The sequence below is a fragment of the Homo sapiens genome, chromosome 1 (assembly GCF_000001405.40).
Source record: "Homo sapiens chromosome 1, GRCh38.p14 Primary Assembly".
In the NCBI taxonomy this organism is placed as follows: domain Eukaryota; kingdom Metazoa; phylum Chordata; class Mammalia; order Primates; family Hominidae; genus Homo; species Homo sapiens.
In genome coordinates this window covers 200872707-200890803 of record NC_000001.11, presented here as the reverse complement: position 1 = coordinate 200890803, position 18097 = coordinate 200872707, and the positions used below count along the sequence as shown (strand labels likewise).

Genomic DNA, 18097 nt, shown 5'->3' with positions numbered 1-18097 from the left:
CCTGAAGTAAGGGCTAGGACCCCGGGCAAGAAGAGGGAAGGCTGACCCAGGCTGAGCCTCGGCAAAACTTGGCCAGAGGAAGCAATACCAGAAAATAAGAGAGGGACTTGAAACAGCAGTGACAGGTGTACAAAAGCACAGCAGCAAGGGAGCACAGCAGGTTCCAGGAGCTGCAGGGAGGTTAGGGTTTGGGATGAGGAAGGAGTAAAGGGAAAGAACATGGAAGAGAGACGAGGCTAATTCGTCAGTCAGTGGCTCATCCAGAAGCAGGGCAGCCAGACGCAGAGGCTCACGCCTATAATCCCAGCACTTTGGGAGGCCCAGGCCAGAGGATCGACTGAGGTCAGGAGTTGGAGATCAGCCTGGGCAACATTGTGAAAACCTGTCTCTACCAAAAAATAAAGAAATTGGCCAGGAGTGGTGGCACGCACCTGTAGTCCCAGCTACTTGGGAGGCTGAGGTGGGAAGATCACTTGAGCAGGGAGGCGGAGGTTGCAGTGAGCCAATATCCCGAGACTACACTCCGGCCTGGGAGACAGGGCAAGACCTTGTCTCAAAACAACAACAACAACAAAAAACCCACAACGAACGGCCAGGCGCGGTGGCTCACGCTTGTAATCCCAGCACTTTCGGAGGCCAATACGGACGGATCGCCTGAGGTCGGGAGTTCAAGAATGGCCTGGGCAACATGGCAAAACCCCATCTCTACTTAAAATACAAAAAAAATTAGCGAGCATGGTGCTGGGAGCCTGTAGTCCCAGTTACTCAGGAGGCTGAGGCATGAGAATCACTTGAACCCATGCAGCAGAGGTTGCAGTGAGCCAAGATCACTCCATTGCACTCCAGCCTGGGTGACAGAGCGAGACTCTGTCTCAATTAAAAACACACACACACAACAAACAAACAAACAAAAGTAAGGCAACTCCATGTGGTTGTCCAGGTTGTGCACTATACTAAGAGGGAAGGTTCACCATTCTCCACCCACCTCGCCCTATGTTTGGTCAGAGCTGTATCTGCCTAGAGAGGGTGGCTTTTTCTAATTTGTACAAAGGCATTATATGAGGTAAGATGACTAAGAGCCTTGTGGGCTAGGTGAGGATTTAAGATTTTTATACTGAAGTTGAAGAGAAGCTACTTGAATTAATCAGCACTCTCTGAGAAACAGAACCAGTAAGATGTGTATGTATAGATAGCTATATCTAGAGAGAGAGAATGCAAGAGAGAGATTGATTGATTTTAAGGAACTGGCTCATTGGATTGTGAAAGCTGGCATATCCAGAATCTGCAGGATAGACTCTCAGGCTGGAGATCCAGGGAAGAGCTGGAGTTCAAGTTCGAAGCAACCTGCTGGCAGGATTCATTCTTGCTCCAGGGAGATCAGACTTTGTTCCAACCAGGACTTCCACAGATTGGAGGGTAATCTGCTTTACTCAAAGTCTATTAATTTCAATGTTAATCTCATCTAAAAACACACACACACACACACACAAAACAACAAAACACCGTCTAGAAACATCTGAAAAAATGTTTAACCAAATATCTGGGCACTGGGCCTAGCCAAGTTGACACGTAAAATTAACCATCACACTGCTGAAAAACGTTGACCCAGGAGATGAACTGGGCAAACTGACCTTTAGAAGATGAGTGGCATGTGAGTGGTTGGAGTGGGGAGAAAGCATAGGCAGGCAGGAATGCAGGCGAGGGCGATGGCGCCTAGACTCCTGTTGTGGCAGAGGGGAGAGAGTGGGTGAAAGGCAGAGGGAAGAGGTCAAGGGCCTCAGAAGCAGGCACCATGGAAGCAGAAACCAGAGTCCTCATTGGAAACTGACTGCTCAGCCCATGTAGGGGAAGGAAGGAGGTGCGATTTGGAAGAGGTCGCTAAGCCCCCATCAGCTCTCTCTCCTTCCCACTTTGGCTGAAGGGGCAAGCATTCTCCATCAGATGGGGTTTTCTGGGAAGTGGAAGGGAAGTGGGGAAAACCTTTGAGTTCTTGCTAGGCAGGAGAAAGGGAAGCAAAGTTGGATGTCCTTAGCTGAGCTTCTAAAAGCTGCATGGTAGCTGGGCAGCTGCTCGCACCCTGAAGCACCATCCTCCCCCATACGCAGTAGAGGGACTCACTGAGTCCTCTCCCTGCCCGGAGGGAGCTATCCTGGTCCAATTTCACAATCCTCAGGCTCTCTGGCCAGGCAGAGGAAGAGGGGGAGGAGGCTGAACTTCCCCACTCTCCCTTTCCCCCGACCCTTGCTCCAGGGGCCGGATGAGGAGAGGGAGGCGTGCCTAGACCCAGACAGTGCCCTGTCAATGCCCTGGGTGAGAAGCTCTCTGGAAACCCCAGAATGACTTGGGCCTAGGCCTCGCTTCCTCTCCTGACCACATCCTGCAGCTCACAGCCAGAGGCAGGTGCAGAAGGGGCACTGTCCTCTATTGGCCTCAGCCTCTGTGGACCAGATCCCTCTCAACTGATCGGGTGCAGGCTGGGCTGCAGGCGGGTGAGTAGCTATGCGAAACGCATACAGCTGACTTAGGAGGTCCAGCCAGGGGGCCTCACTCAGCTGCTTCAAAGTGCTTCAAAGGAAGAAAAACCCCCAAATGGGTCCAGGATACTGAATCTAGAGAGCTGCTTGGAGGAGAGGGGCAAGCCCATCACTGGGGCTCAGACTCTTGAGTTGCATGAGATGGGAAAGGAGCCTGCTCCCCAGAGACACACCAGCATCCTCCTGGCCAGCAATCCTGGGCTGGTTTCTCAATGTTCCCAGGTCCTCTCCAGGAAGTTAGGGTCCTCTTCCTACCTTCCCCGCCTCCTCTCTTTCTTCACTTTTTTTTCCCTTTGTTCTCTCTCTTTCCTCCTCCCCCTTCCTCTACAGCTCTTCTATCCTGGCTGCCTGGGCTCCCAGAAGATTTCAGGGACCACAGGACAGTGACCTCGCACTGCACATGGAGAGCACTGGCCCCTGACACGCTTTCCCCGACCTCTGCCCTTCTTGTAACTCGCTCTCCTGGGCTGGACCCCTGGGGGGTCAGATTTCTGACAGTTGCCAGAAATCTGCTCTTCTGTGTGCCCTGGAGGAAGAAAACCTAAGGGTGAAAGTGCTGGGGGGTAGAGAGCGGGGTGTGGGGTGGCCTGGAGGCTCTAATTTAACCTGGAGCCCCCTGCTTTCTGTGGCCCCACTTGGGGAGACTTGGACCCCTGCTTTGGGGAGACTTGGACCCCTGCTTTGGGGAGAGCAAAACCTGGCCCCTCTCTAACCGCAAGCCCAAGCCCCCTGCAGCATCCCTGGTCCAGTAAGCCCTAATGCCCGGGCCTCTGTGGCCATTCTCTCGCTCTTTTTTTTTTTTTTGAGACAGAGTCTCGCTCTGTCGCCAGGCTGGAGTGCAGTGGCGCGATCTCGGCTCACTACAACCTCCACCTCCCGGGTTCAAGATAAAAGCTCTCCACTGTCCTCAGTTTCTCTTGGAAAGCCCAGTTCTGTTTGCAATCAGATGGCACACAGTAAAGACACTTTGGTGCAGGTCCATGTTTCCTTCCCCGCGGGCGGTGGTGTGTAGGGTCGGGAATTTCCACGTCCCAGCTGGGCTGCACCTCAGGAAGCCTGAAACACTGGCAGGAGGTGAAGACACCGTGTCGGGGGTCTGAGGGCTGGATGATTATTACCCCTCTGTCAAAACACAAAATTATGACAAATTTAGTTAAATGATGTAATTGGCTTTTATTTGTGACTTATGAAGCTGGGTAGCATTTTTCTCTAAAAACTGAGAAAAAGTGCTCCAATGAGCTGAGCAGAGGAGGTTGGCTTTACAGGCAGAAAAGGGCTGAAGAAAGCAGAATCAGAACAAAAAGCAACCAGTTAGCATCAGGTAACTTCAGTTAACTTTCTTTGTAAAGGTTAAAGCAGAGGGGACTTCTTATCATGCTGGCTAAAACTGGCCTATCTGGGGATTTGGCTATTATCTTTCTCTCTCTCCTGTTTTCTTGGAAGGTCAGATAAACAACTTAGTTTCAGTTTGGTGACATCAAACTTTAGCATAAGTGACACCATTTTGGTTTGTTCTGTTAAGCCTAGAGCAGGAGGTCAGTCCAAATCAATGACCTCCAATAAATTTTGTTTAATACCACTAATAGCAGTTGCATTTTTCAAAGACCTTGGGCTGGAGGTGCCCTCTAAAATAGCACCTGACAGACCGGGCACAGTGGCTCACGCCTGTAATCCCAGCACTTTGGGAGGCCAAGGCGAGCAGATCACCTGAGGTCAGGAGTTCGAGACCAGCCTGGCCAACATGGTGAAACCTCGTCTCTACTAAAAATACAAAAATTAGCACAAGAATCACTGAACCTGGGAGGTGGAGGTTGCAGTGAGCCCAAGATTGTGCCACTGCACTCCAGCCTGGGCGACAGAGCAAGACTCTATCTAAAAATAAAAATATAAATAAATAAATAAATAAATAAATAGCACCTGAACAATTTGGGGCTTTTTATCAATTTATCCTGTGAATGTTAAGTGCGTGGCTCAGGTACATAATTTGGGGGAAACTTTTAAAATATGTGTTTTGTAGTCAGATCGCCTCAGTTTCTTCATCTGTAAAATGGGCATGAGAAGGCCCACTCACGTGACTGTGGTGAGGATAATGAAATCATGCAGATAAAATGCTTTTGAGCATTGTGCTTTGCACATAGTAAGCACCCAATAAAATGGCAGGGTTTTTTAAAGAAGATGTTTTCCAAATTATCTTTTTTTTTTAAAGTTTTTCTTCTTCCTCACACCCAACCCCCAGGAAAAACAAGATAGTATTTACTCATGATAATTACAAATTTAATGGTCCAGACCTGTTTACTGGTGACCAAGTTCCACTTCCTGTGGTTTAACAACTTGGGGCTTCAAAAGACCAATCTCCCCCTGTGATCAGGCCTGGGCCTATGGCCTTGGCATGGGTTATATAAAAACAAATTAGGACCTTATACCTTTGCCTTGTCTTAAAATACTCAAAGAGATGAGAAAGGAGTGTGTTTTTGAAGAAAGGAGGGTTTTAATTGAGGTCAGATGCTGTCTAAATCCATTGAAATGGTCCATAAACCCAGCTACGTGTGACCTCCTCCCCATCTCTCCTCAGAGCTCTGCCCCCAACCCACACTCGTCCACACCCCTCTGCAATTGGTTCATTTAGGTCAATGCAGTTTCATTCGTTTGTTCAAAAATGTGTGCACCAAAGCGTTGTGGGTGCTCTCACAGCCCTGTGGGCTCGGGCAGTGGTGAGACAGGGCTCAGTAGGAAAGTCAGTTCTATGGAATGAACTCCCATTTACCCATCACCTACATCTAGTATATTTAGTAAAGATTAACATTTCCCTATATGATTTTTTCTTTTTTATAGTTTTTTTTTCTTTATTACCTTTCATTTTTCTTGGTTTTTTTTTTTTTTTTTTTTTTTTTTGAGACAGGATCTGGCTCTGCTGCCCAGGCTAGAGTAGAGTGGCACAATCTCAGCTCACTTCAACTTCTGCCTCCCAGGCTCAAGCCATCCTCCCACCTCAGCCTCCTGAGTAGCTAGGACCACAGGCATGCGCCACCATGCCCGGCTAATTTTTATATTTTTTGTAGAGATAGGGTCTCACTTTGTTGCCTAGGCCGCTCTCGAACTTCCGAGCTCAAGCAATCCATTTGCCTCGGCCTCCCAAAGTGCTGGGATTACAGGTGTGAGCCACTGCACCGGGACTATTTTTTTCTTTAGTGAAATATCTTAAAGAAAATCCCAGGCATGGTGACATATGACTAATAAATGTTTCAGAATGTATCTCTGAAAATAATTGGACATTTTTCTTATATGATCGCTTGACCATTATCACAATCACTTCTTAATCTCACCTAATACCAAGTTATATTCCAAGTTCTCCAGTTGTCCTCATACTGTCTTTTAAAGTTGGTTAGCCCGGGAACAGTGGCTCACACCTGTAATCCCAGCACTTTGGGAGGCCTGGGCTGGCCTCCATGCTTGAGCTCAGGACTTCAAGACCAGCCTGGGCAATATGGAGAAACCCTGTCTCTACGAAAAATACAAAACTTAGCCGGGTGTGGTACCACACTCCTATAATTCCAGTTACCTGGGAGACTGAGGTGGGAGGATCACCTGAGCCCAGGGAGGTCGAGGTTACAGTGAGCTGAGATCCCACCACTGCACTCCAGCCTGTGTAACAGAGTGAGGCCCTGTCTCAAAAAAATAAAATAAAATTTTGGTTTGTTTGTATCTAAATCCAGTAAGATCTACACATGGCATTTGGCTCTTTTAATCTGGTATTGTTCCCTGCCCTGCATCCCCCAACTTTTAAAATCATGTCAGTGACTTGTTTAAAGAAATCGGGTCAGTTGTCTCATGAAATGTCCTAAATTCTGTTTTATCTGTCTGTGTCCTCACATTGTCATTTAACTCCTCCTAACCCCTATATTTCCTAAAACATGGAAATTAGCACCAAAGGCTTGCAAACATTCAGGTTTATCATTTTCTGGCAAGTACCTCACAGGTAATGCTGGGTGCTTCATCCTGCTCCTATTCTGAAGCATGTCATGTCTGTTTGTCCTCTTTTAGCAATGCTAAGTACATCAGTGGGTTCAGATGTTGACAGCCTGACCCCTCCATCATCATCTTGCATTTTCCCCCTTCTCACTGGGAGAGAATCTGTGGGGCAACATGTTGACATCTTGCAATAGTCTAGCTCCCCAGAAGCCTCTCACCCAAAGGTTTTAGCAGCCATTGATGATTTTTGCCTGAATCAATTATTTTATTAGAGGTTGCAAAAGGCGATTTGCTATTTCTACTAAAATGAGTTTTACTGTTAAAAAGCAATAAACTTCATAAAATGTGATCAATCAGCTTCTTACCGATCTAGCTTCCAAATTCAGCTTGTGATATAAGAGAATCCCATAAAGACACCCGTATTGATTGATTACGTATTAAAAATAACTTCCCTGTTTGTTAGTACCGCATTCTGGAGAGCCCTCTGCCAACTCTGCTCTGTTGTCTTCCTTAGACCATAACCTCTGAGAATGCATAAAGTATGTGTGCACATATCTCTCTTGGTACAGGACCACATAGAATCAGGCTCTTACATGTCACAAAGTGTGTATTAAGTGGGCTGATAAGTGTATTTTACTCGCTAAGTGCTGTCAGTTATTTCTCTTTCTTTGGTCTCCTATTGATGGGGTTGTTCATAGTAATGGATGGGTTTTTAAAATTGTTTTGCCTGATTGTTTGATCTGATTATTTGATTTTTAATTGATGATTGTCTGCTTCTAGCCTTTTGATGGGTCCATTTTATTAAATGTTAAAAAATAATTTTAAGCAATAAACTAGACAAGCCTCTAGAGAACAGGCTTAGGCCTACAGTCAAAGGATTTGGGGATCTTAGGGCTGACAGGGATCAGAGAGGTCTCCTTATCCAATCCCCACCCAGTGCTGGGGCCTTGTCTGTAGATAGATGGCACCGCTACAAAACTGTCGCTGTGGATTAAACACACAGCCTCACTCATTTCAGAGACCACTCTGGGCTCTGGCAGGAAATTCCCAGACAGAGAGACAAAGTCTTTCACAGTCTTTCACTGTGGGGACACACTGACCAACTGATCTCCAAAAATCAAAGATATACAAAAGCAACCGATTCACAGCATGGAATTCTTTGTATGGTTTTTAATTTCAAGAAAAAGAGATAGGAAAGGAAAAATAACATTTTACCCAAAACAAAAGATCCACACAAGCCCACATTTTCCATTTCTTTTTTGGTGTGGGATGGAGACAAATTATTCATGGTTGCTCTGCAGGAGAGCTGGGAGTCTTTTTCATTTCTTTTCTCTTTTCTTTTTTTTCTTTCTTTTTTTTTTTTTTTTTTTTTTTTTTTTGAGATGGAGGCTGTCTCTGTCACCCAGGCTGGAGTTCAGTGGCACGATCTCGGCTCACTGCAACCTCCACATCCCGGGTTCCAGCAATTCTCCTGTCTCAGCCTCCTGAGTAGCTGGGACTACAATCGCATACCACCACACCTGGCTAATTTTTGTATTTTTAATAGAGACGGGGTTTCACCATATTGGTCAGGCTGGTCTTGAACTCCTGACCTTGTGATCCGCCCGCCTCAGCCTCCCAAAGTGCTGGGATTACAGGGGTAAGCCACCATGCCCGGCCGTCTTTTTCATTTCTGTAGCCCCACAGTCTTGCATATCCTACCTGGCACAGTAGTAATGCAAAATGAAAGTTTCTTGAAACATTGAATTTAAGAAGAGAAATCCGGCCAGGTGCAGTGACTCACACCTTTAATCTCAGCACTTTGGGAGGCCAAGGCAGGCGGATCACCTGAGGTCAGGAGTTTAAGACCAGCCTGGCCAACACAGTGAAACCCCGACTCTACTAAAAATACAAAAAATTAGCCGGGCGTGGTGGTGGGCGGCTATAATCCCAGCTTCTCAGGAGGCTGAGGCAGGAGAATTGCTTGAACCTGGGAGGCAGAGGTTGCAGTGAGCTAAGATCGTGCCACTACACTCCAGCCTGGGCAACAGAGTGAGACACGGTCTCAAAAAAAAAAAAAGAGAGAGAGAGAGAGAAGAGAAATCCACAACCATGGTAGAATTCAATTTTACTCTTAAAATTATAGCAAACATAGAATGCTTAATATGTGCCAGATAGTCATAGTCAACACATTTCACCCTCTCACAAACTCTGTGACTTAAGAAGTATCATCTCCTCCTCCTGTGATCTGAGGAGGATCCCAAGGGGAAAAGTAAGTGAGTAACATACCCAAGATCTCAAAGACAGTAAGAAGCAGAGCTGGAACTTGAACCCAGCTAGTGGCACTGGAGTTTGTGCCCTGAACGTCTATATATGGTTACTAAAAAGCACTTACACTCATTAGTATGCTCTTTTTTTTTTTTTTTTTTTTTGAGACAGAGTCTCGCTCTGTCACCCAGGCTGGAGTGCAGTGGCACGATCTCAGCTCACTGCAAACTCCACCTCCTGGGTTCACACCATTCTCCTGCCTCAGCCTCCCGAGTAGCTGGGACTACAGGCGCCTGCCACCACACCTGGCTAATTTTTTGTATTTTTTTAGTAGAGACGAGGTTTTACCATGTTAGCCTGGATGGTCTCGATCTCCTGACCTTGTGGTCTGCCCGCCTCAGCCTCCCAAAGTGCTGGGATTACAGGCATGAGCCACCGCAACTGGCCTAGTGTGCTCTATTTCTTTTCAAAGTGCGTTTTCCACAAGTCCACAGCTACTGCTTTTGAGGAGGTTTCAATCTTTTGAAGGAGAACATAACAGGCGAGAGAATCACACAGGGTGGTGAGGGGGAAGAACCCAAAAGAGGGTGATGGATGCAGGGGAATTTTTTCAGTTTGAAACAGACACTCAAAATTAGTCCCAAATTAGATAGAAATGATGTTTGTTATGGTATATTTATAAAAGCAGAGGCTCCTGAGCAACATAAATGTCTAATCATGGAAGAATGGTTAGTTATACTGTGGTCTATACACTGAATGACGCCTTTAAAAATGACAACTATGAAATCTATATAGTGGCACAGGAAAATGTTTATAATATGTTCTGCAAAATAATAAAGCTGGACACGACACGATCTCAGCAATGTAAAATGTGACCATGTGGAGAAGGGTTAAGAGGATGGGCAAAAATGAAAATTATTGCAATTAGGGTGCAGGATCTTGAGTTAGTTCACTCTTGATATTATATTTTCTCTCTTTATGATAATAATAATTTTAGAAATTGAAACCTGAGAAGGCTCGACACGGTGGCTCACACCCGTAATCCCAGCACTTTGGGAGGCCAAGATGGGAGGATAGCTTGAGCCCCGGAGTTTGAGACCAGCCTGGGCAAAATGGACAGACCCCATCTCTACAAAACAAATTTTTAAATAATTAGCCAGGAGTGATGGTGTGTGTGCCTGTGGTCCCAGCTACTTGGGCTGAGGCAGGAGGATGGCTTAAGCCTGGGATTTCGAGGCTGCAGTGAGCTATGATTGTGCCACTGCACTCCAGCCTGGGCAACAAAGCAAGACCCCATTTCTTAGAAAAAGAAAAGAAAGGAAAAAGAAACCTACGAAGATTTGGGACAATTGGCTATATAAAGAATAAGACTTTGCCTACAAAGAAACGGAATTCAGAGTGCCCTGTGACCTTCCTTATCCTGCCACTCTGTGTTTGTGGGACCCAGAATAAGAGCAGCCCATGGCACAACCTGCTTGCTTAAGGTTATTCAGAAGCAGAGATGATGAATAGAAAGAAATGGTTGCATGCACAGCATGAAGACAGTCATTTTCAGAGCAGGGCAGCAATTAATCACCCCTTGTCTAGCACATCTCCCTGAGGCAAACCACAGTCTCCATCCAGACACTGGCAGCTGTTGTCTGAGGTCCATCGAAGCCCATTGAAGCCCTGCCCGTCTTTCCCCAGCTCTCTCATTCACTGCTGGGACTACCAGGCAACCCTGGGGTTTGTGGGTTTCTCCCCAGTCCTGCCCCTATCACCCCTGGGAAGAGCCCCATTTCTCTCTCAATCCAATGCCCCAACAATTTACTGTCCATGTCCGTAGGACAGGGATTCTGATTTTTTTGAGAACAAAAGCGGGGTAATTTCCATGCTGGGCAACAGCCTTGACTCTGGCACACTTGGTTTAGTACCAATTAGTGAGAAACAGGGTTAGCGGGCACTAGAAAACTGGTGGAAGTTGGAAGGTGGGTTGAGCTGTGGCCCATGAAGCCACAATTTTCAGCCCTGCCCTGTGTGTGTGTGATCCTGGCAAGTCAACTGAGCTCTTGGAGTTCTAACTCTCCTATCTAAAATGGGGATAATAACACAGGTTCTTTAGGCAAGATACTTTGGGAAAGTTATATAAACTCTCCAGAACTCATTTTTTTAATCTGTAGAATAGAAACAATAATATTATATACCCCATAAAGTTATTGTGAGGATTAATAATATTATATAAATATATATATAAAGTAAGAACTTTAGCTCAGAGCCTCTCAACTGCGCTCAGTAAATATTAGCTATTATCTTGACATCTACTTCAGAGGGATATTGTAATGAGATATTATGTATAAAAGGCTTTTGTCTTTGAAATAATATAACAAGATAGTAAATATTTTCTTTTTAAGTTGGGCAGACACCAAACTGACAAATTTTTTTTTGTTTTGTCTTTTTTTTTTTTTCAGGCAGAGTTTTGCTCTTGTTGCCCAGGCTGGAGTGCAGTGGTGTGATCTCAGCTCACTGCAACCTCCGCCTCCCCGCCTCAAGCAATTCTCCTGCCTCAGCCTCCCAAGTAGCTGGGATTACAGGTGCCCGACACCACACCCCGCTAATTTTTTTGTATTTTTAGTAGAGTCGGGGTTTCACCATGTTGGCCAGGCTGATCTTGTACTCCTGGCCTCAGGTGATCTGCCTGCCTTGGCCTCCCAAAGTGCTGGGATTACAGGCATGAGCCACTGCACCTGGCCATTTTTAATTTTTTTAGAGACAGAGTCTCACTATGATGCCCAGACCAGTCTCGAACTGCTGGGCTCAAGCGATCTTCCCACCTCGGCCTCCCAAAGTGCTAGGATTACAGATGTGAGCTACCCATGCCCAGGCTGCTTTTAAAACATTTGCAGCTGGGTGTGGTGGCTCATGCCTGTAATCCCAACACTTTGGGAAACCGAGGTGGGTGGATCACTTGAGCTCAGGAGTTTGAGACCAGCCTGGCCAACATGGTGAAACTCCGTCTCTACTAAAAATACAAAAATTAGCTGGACATGGTGGCGCGTGCCTGTAATCCCAGCTACTTGGAAGGCTGAGGTAGGAGAATCACTTGAACCCAGGAGGTGGAGGTTGAAGTAAGCTGAGATCGTGTCACTGCACTCCAGCCTGGGTGACAGAGTGAGACTCTGTCTCAAAAAAAGAATTTTTTCTTAATATGCTACACAGGTATAAGTGGTGATTATTACCTTAAGTGACCCCCATTTCTGGCCCTCAGTCTCCTCGTTCTCAGAATGGACAAAATGAGCTTCTGTCCTTAAAGCACTGTGATGGATGTAAATATGAATCTCAGGCAGTGCCCACTTTCATGGAAGATGTACTTACACACTCAATAAATACTTTTTGATGTTCATGATGATGAAGAGGAGGGGTGATTTCACATCATTGCTTTCTCCTTTCCTCTCACATCCCAAGCATTTCCTGGTCTTTTCATCATTTGCACCTTTTGCCCCATCATTTGGGGGTGATGGGATAAGTATGTCTTGTGGCCACTCGGCCCAGGTAGGACAGGGAGTTAGCCCCAGTAAGCTCTAACAAGCAAGACGTACTCACAAGTGTCCAGAGTCCTCACTCTGCCTTCAGAGTGGTGTGGGGCTGAGTCATATCACCAAGTGCCACCCCTGGAGCTCTGCCATTCTGCTGAACTCCCCAAATCACTCATCAACCCAAGTGCCCTGGGTTCCCACACTGTGCCCCAAGAAAGCACCCAAGGGGTTGAGAGAGGTGAGGAGGAAGCCCAGAATTAGTCACAAGAAGCAAATCAGAATCACACACAGCCAGTGTGCCCAGCCTTAGCCTAGATGCTGACCTTTTGAAAACCCAGAGTGGCTCCACCCCATCTCCTCTCCATGGCTACAAGGATTGGGATGGGGTAGCCCGGCCTGGAACAAGCTAATCCTGAGGGTATGTTGTCTAAAACTCCTGCAGTATGTTTGTCTAAAACACCACAGCTTACAAAGTACTTTCAAGATTATTTCCTTTGATCTGTGAGGCAGCCTGAGGAGATATTATCATCTTCATCCTTTAGATGAAGAAAGTGAGTCTCAAGAAAGGTAAGCGAGGTGGCCAAGGACAGGCAGCTTGTTATGAGCTCCAGTGCTTTGGTAGCTTCGTTGCTATTTGTTAACTGCCCTTTAAAAGAAGCTTATAGGGGCCAGGCATGGTGGCTCACGCCTGTAATCTCAGCACTTTGGGTGGCTAAGGTGGGTGGATCACCTAAGGTCAGGAGTTCAAGACCAGCCTGGCCAACATGGTGAAACCCCATCTCTACTAAAAATATTAAAAAATTGGCGGGAGCCTGTAATCCCAGCTACTTGGGAGGCTGAGGCAGGAGAATTGTTTGAACCAGGGAGGAGGAGGTTGCAGTGAGCTGAGATCCCATCATTGTACTCCAGCCTGGGTGACAGAGCATGACTCTGTCTCAAAAAAAAAAAAGAAGCTTATAAACCCAGGCACAGTGGTTCATGCCTGTAATCCTAGCAAACCTTGGGAGGCCAAGGTGGGGGGATCACTTGAGGCCAGGAGGTGGAGGCTGCAGCAAGCTATGATTGCACAGGAAGACTGTCTCTTTAAAAAAAAAAAAAAAGCTCATAGAACATTTAAAAGTAAAGAAATGGAGGGGAAAAAGGATCTAAAATCCACTTACTCTAACACAATCATACACAATCATTATCATTAATGATTATTGTATTTCTTCCTAGCCTTTTTTTGCAAGTCCTTTAACAATCCATAGCTGTTACACATAAAATGCAATAGCCTTCCTTTTACTCTTCACATTCTATGACATTATTTCATATCATGACATGGTCCTGATGATCATTCATTCAACAGGTAGTTAGTGAGTGCCTGAGATGTGCAGGCATGCTCCAGGCACTGGGAACACAGCCTTGAACCAACAGACAAAACCGTCTGCATGCATGGAGCTTGCATCCTGACAGGAGGGACAAGCAAGAAACGAAGAAATAAATCGACAGCATTCCATTAGTTAGCACCTAGATAAAAGAGATATACCTATAGTGTTCAAAGCTTGAGCTATGAGAAATAAAAGAGCAAAAGATCGTTTTCATCAAAAGGACTATGAAGCATGTTATGTTTTACTTAACAAAACCAGTGCTAACCATGTTACATCCTCCAGACTTGAAGTGTGTGGGTGTGTTTAACAGACACAATTTTACCTTTTTTTCCCTTTTAAGTTATCCGTCAACATTTTTCAGTCTCTCTTTAAAGAGCATCTTAAATTTGCATAATAGTCATTCATCTTAATAAAAACATTACACTGTTGTTGGACATTGTTGTTTCCTTTCAGGTTTAACTCTTTAAAAACTTCTCTAACTCAGCCGCAGGGTGCACTGCCTCATGCCTGTAGTCCCGGCACTTCAGGAGGCCAAGGTGGGTGGATCACGAGGTCAAGAGACTGAGACCATTCTGGCTAACATGGTGAAACCCTGTCTCTACTAAAAGTACAAAAAATTAGCCGGGCGTGGTGGTGCACACCTGTATTCCCAGCTACTTGGGAGGCTGAGGCAGGAGAATCGCTTGAACCCAGGAGGTGGAGGTTGCAGTGAGCCGAGATCACACCACTGCACTCCAGCCTGGGCAACAGAGCAAGATCCCATCTCAAAAAAACAAAAAACGAAAACAAAACAAAAAAACTTCTATAACTCAGTGCAGAATCGTTTAAATTTAGTACTGTTGCATTAGAAGAGAGTGGCAGAAGCAAAACTACAGGGTCGAAGGGTATAAACATTTTAAATAAACAGGATATGAAAAGTTCTAAAGCTCTTGATGAAGATTGACAATTGCTTTCTAAAGGAATCTACTCTCACCAGCCACATATGTGGGAATGCTCGTTTAACCAGTTCCTCGATGAATCTGAGCCTCATCTTCCCCAGTGGGAGATGGGAGCTCACTGATCCTCTTTCATTTTTGTCTGAATTTAAGGGAAAATTTCCAAAGGACACATGGTAGACCAGTTCCGTGATCTACTCAAACAAAGGGCGGAAACTGTCTCTCCACATTGCAGAGTTCCACAGCAGGAGGGGAATGCTGAGTTTCAATAGCTACTGCAGGAGGGGAGACGAAAACCCACCAGGGCATGGAGAAGTCTTCTTTCTTCCTGTCTGTTTTCAGGGAACTCAACTAGTCAGTAAGTCAGAAGCAGCAACTTGGCAGGGGTGGAGGTGGGGGCTCAGTCCCAATAGCCTAGAAAAGTGCCTCCTCTGTACTCTGAGATCTTGTCACACACAAACCCAGATGAGAATCAGCTTCCCTGCCCTGAAAATTCTGGGGTCTCAGCCCCATGAAAAAATAATTTCTTGCCTCGGAGAGCAATCGTGAGGATAGGAAGGGCCAAGACTTAACTGAACTCTCAAACACCGAAGTGCCTGAAATGTGTCCTGCTGGCAGAGGTGACCTCACAGGCTGCAAGGCTTGCCTCTCTTGGAGTATATGGTAGGAACATGCAGAGATGCACTTTTTGGCAGGCTGACCTAGGAGAGCCGATGTTCAATCCAAGCAGCTCCAAATGCTGAAGAGAATACAGGGGTATTTGATGGGGGGATGGGATGGATAGCCTGCGACAGAATGCCAGCCTTCAGACCCAACCTAGTGCTGAGGTGCTGATGTGCGTGCACACCCACCCGTTCCCCCAGAGCTTGCAACATCAAGACTGGCCTGTGGGGATCTGGCTAGGATGTGCACTGACTGAAATGTCTTTAGGCCAAATCCTCTTAAATCAAAAGTATAAACAGTGAATTTCCAAACCCTACAGAAACCTCAAATGAGAAATGACAGAGTCAGAAAATGGCTAATCCTCCAAGTTTGTACTGGAAGGTCTGAAAAAAGATAGAAAAAAAAAGGGGGGGCCTGGTATATATTTGAAAATCCAAAATGACACATCTTCTCTTGGAAGTGACACTTGGCTGGCAGATGCCCTTATATAAATATATTTTCTTTCGGTAATTTTCAAAATGTGAAATGTCCTTAAAAATAAGAATAAATGACTTGCTTCCTCCTGTGGGATTACTGCACCTGCAGAGTGCAGCCAGCTCTCATGCTCCCAGACACCACCCCAAATCCTCATCATCCTGAGATCAACCTCAACTACTGTGTTGAGTTTTGTCTCACCCAGTGTACGACCCGCCTCCTGATATGCATTTCACTCCCACTGCTCAAGCAAAGACGGTTGTCAAGACAGGGCTAGCAAGAGTGTTTATTGAGAAAGATGAATTCACAGAGATTTTGAGGTTCCTGGCTGAGTGATGGAGACCTCAAAAAACGCCTGGTGAGCGATTTCAGGACCTTCTGTCCAGAGGGAAAGACCAGAACAACTTCCAGGTGAGTCCTGCCGCTTCACAGGGGGAGAAGTGTCACCAGATTCAATGCAAGGGTTTTGTGAGTGAGAAGGGCAGGGGGTCTGACTTGGAGAAGGTATTTCTCTGAAAGCAACGGCTATTGTGGGAGACGGGAGAAAGCACAGCCAGAAATCAGAATGGCATTTGGGGGTCTGGGTTAGATATTCTGGTGGGTTCTCTTCCCGATGGGACAGAGAAGGAAACCCACTTCCCTTCTGTCTACTTGGTGAATCTGCGGGTCTCCGAGTTGCTGTCTGCTACATCTCATAGCACCTATCTTGGACTGGACAAAATTAGCTCAGGTACCCTGCAGGCTGAGAGGGAACAGCTAGTCACAGGAGCCTGGTTTAGGGGAGTTCAATTGTTCTGAGGTTCCGGGGAAACCGATGGAGGAGGCCTTGGGAGTCCAGGCAGCGCGCGAGGAAATGCGATGCCGGCCCGAGCAGCTTGCTGCCGCCAGAACAGGCGCGTCTGGGGAGCTCAGTCCCCTCCGGGACCTCTGGCCTCCTCTCGATGCTCCGCTGCCGCCCACCTCCAGCGGCCCGGGGCAGCTACCAGGAGGCCGAGGCAGTGTTCGCGGCCTGGGCCCGGCAACGGAACACGGAACTGTCGTCCCTGGAGAGCGAGGAGGCTGAGCTGATCCTTCGCGCCAGGCGGCCGGTGCGCCCGCAGGCCCCGTCCAGCGCCCGGGCTCGGAATGAGCGGTCCAGCAGGAGGTAGATGAGCGGGTTGGCGCAGCTGTTGACGAAGGCCAGGCAGGTGGCAATGGTGAGGCCCCAGCGCAGCGCCAGCAGCAGGGGGCACGGCAGCGGCAGCGCCCCCAGACGCGCCAGGTGGAAGACGGCCCGCAGGGCGCTGAAGGGCAGCCAGGAGCCCACAAACGTGCTCTCGATGGCGAAGATGATGCGCAGCGAGTTCCTCCGGGCCCGACCCACGTGCGGCGGCCGTCGCAGGCGGCGCGAGATGCGGCAGTAGCAGAAGAGGGTGACGACCAGGGGCAGCACGAAGGTCAGCAGCAGCAGCAGCAAGCTGAGGCCCTGGAAGGCGTGGGAGGGCTCCTCGCCGCACTGGCTGTCCTGGCCCCCAGGCAGGGGCTGCAACCCCCGGTAGACCAGGGAGGGCAGGCCGGCCAGCAGCGCCACGGCCCAGACGCCGCAGCACGAGGCCAGCGCGCAGCGCGGGGTGCGCAGTGGCCTCGCCTCGAGCAGCTTCACCACGGCCAGGTAGCGGTCCACGCTCATGCCCGCCAGCAGCAGCGCGCCCGCGCAGCGCGTGCCCGCCAGCGCGAAGCTGCTGAGCTTGCAGAGGCCATCGCCGAACGGCCAGCGGCCGCCTAGCGCCGCCGCCGCGGCCCACAGCGGCAGCGTGAGCACGAAGCCCAGGTCAGCTGCCGCCAGGTGCAGCACGAAGGTATCCACCAGCCGCCGCGGGCCCCGCCGCCCGGCCAGCAGCCACACCACAAAGGCGTTGCCCAGCAGGCCCACGGCGAAGGCCGCCAGGTAGAGCGCGGGGATGTAGACGTAGCCGTAGGGCAGGTCCCCGGCCGGACACAGCTCCAGCTCCTCCAGGCCGTCCAACCCCGAGTAGTCCCAGGGCGCTGACCCCGGGCTGGGGCTCCAGGGCTCTGTGGGGGCCATGGCCTGGCTATGAGGCCTGCGCGGAGTGCAGCCCTGGGCGCAGGCGGCAGCAGCTCTGAGCAGGAGGGGGTTTGCTCTTCACGCCCGGCCCTGCACCTCCCTTCCTGCCACCCAAGCCGGAGGCAAATGGGTGGGCAGGAAAGAGGGGAGGGAGGAGGGGATGGGGTGGGAGGGGCAGGCTTCTGTGAGAGAGATGGTGGCCTCCGATTTGGGGCTGACCCGAGGGGTAAGGGCAGGGACAGGCAAAAGGGGCTTCACATCTAAATCTTGGGAGGAAAAGTCTTCAGGGCTGGGAGACCTGCCCGGCCTCCCAGTAGGAGCGTGGCCCATT

The 18097-nt window shown here is 48.3% G+C and overlaps 1 protein-coding gene across 1 annotated transcript, besides 3 other annotated features; it reads right to left on the bottom strand.

The window, feature by feature from the left end:
* Positions 4840-4899: a silencer, noted in NCBI's record as "silent region_1679". NCBI's record gives its function as "represses an Ori minimal core promoter by ATAC-STARR-seq in GM12878 lymphoblastoid cells {active_cell/tissue: GM12878}" and the evidence as "EXISTENCE:reporter gene assay evidence [ECO:0000049][PMID:35858748]".
* Positions 6977-7177: a silencer, noted in NCBI's record as "peak649 fragment used in MPRA reporter construct". NCBI's record gives its function as "represses an SCP1 promoter by STARR-seq MPRAs in K562 erythroleukemia cells {active_cell/tissue: K562}" and the evidence as "EXISTENCE:reporter gene assay evidence [ECO:0000049][PMID:32103011]".
* Positions 16626-17823, bottom strand: GPR25 (G protein-coupled receptor 25). The gene has a single exon (NM_005298.4). It carries the CDS (start codon positions 17764-17766, stop codon positions 16681-16683), a length of 1086 nt encoding a protein of 361 aa, NP_005289.2. The 5' UTR covers positions 17767-17823; the 3' UTR covers positions 16626-16680.
* Positions 17129-17771: an enhancer, noted in NCBI's record as "H3K4me1 hESC enhancer chr1:200842161-200842803 (GRCh37/hg19 assembly coordinates)". NCBI's record gives its function as "activates a minimal SCP1, AML or CMV promoter by ChIP-STARR-seq in primed H9 embryonic stem cells {active_cell/tissue: H9 hESC(primed)}" and the evidence as "EXISTENCE:reporter gene assay evidence [ECO:0000049][PMID:30033119]".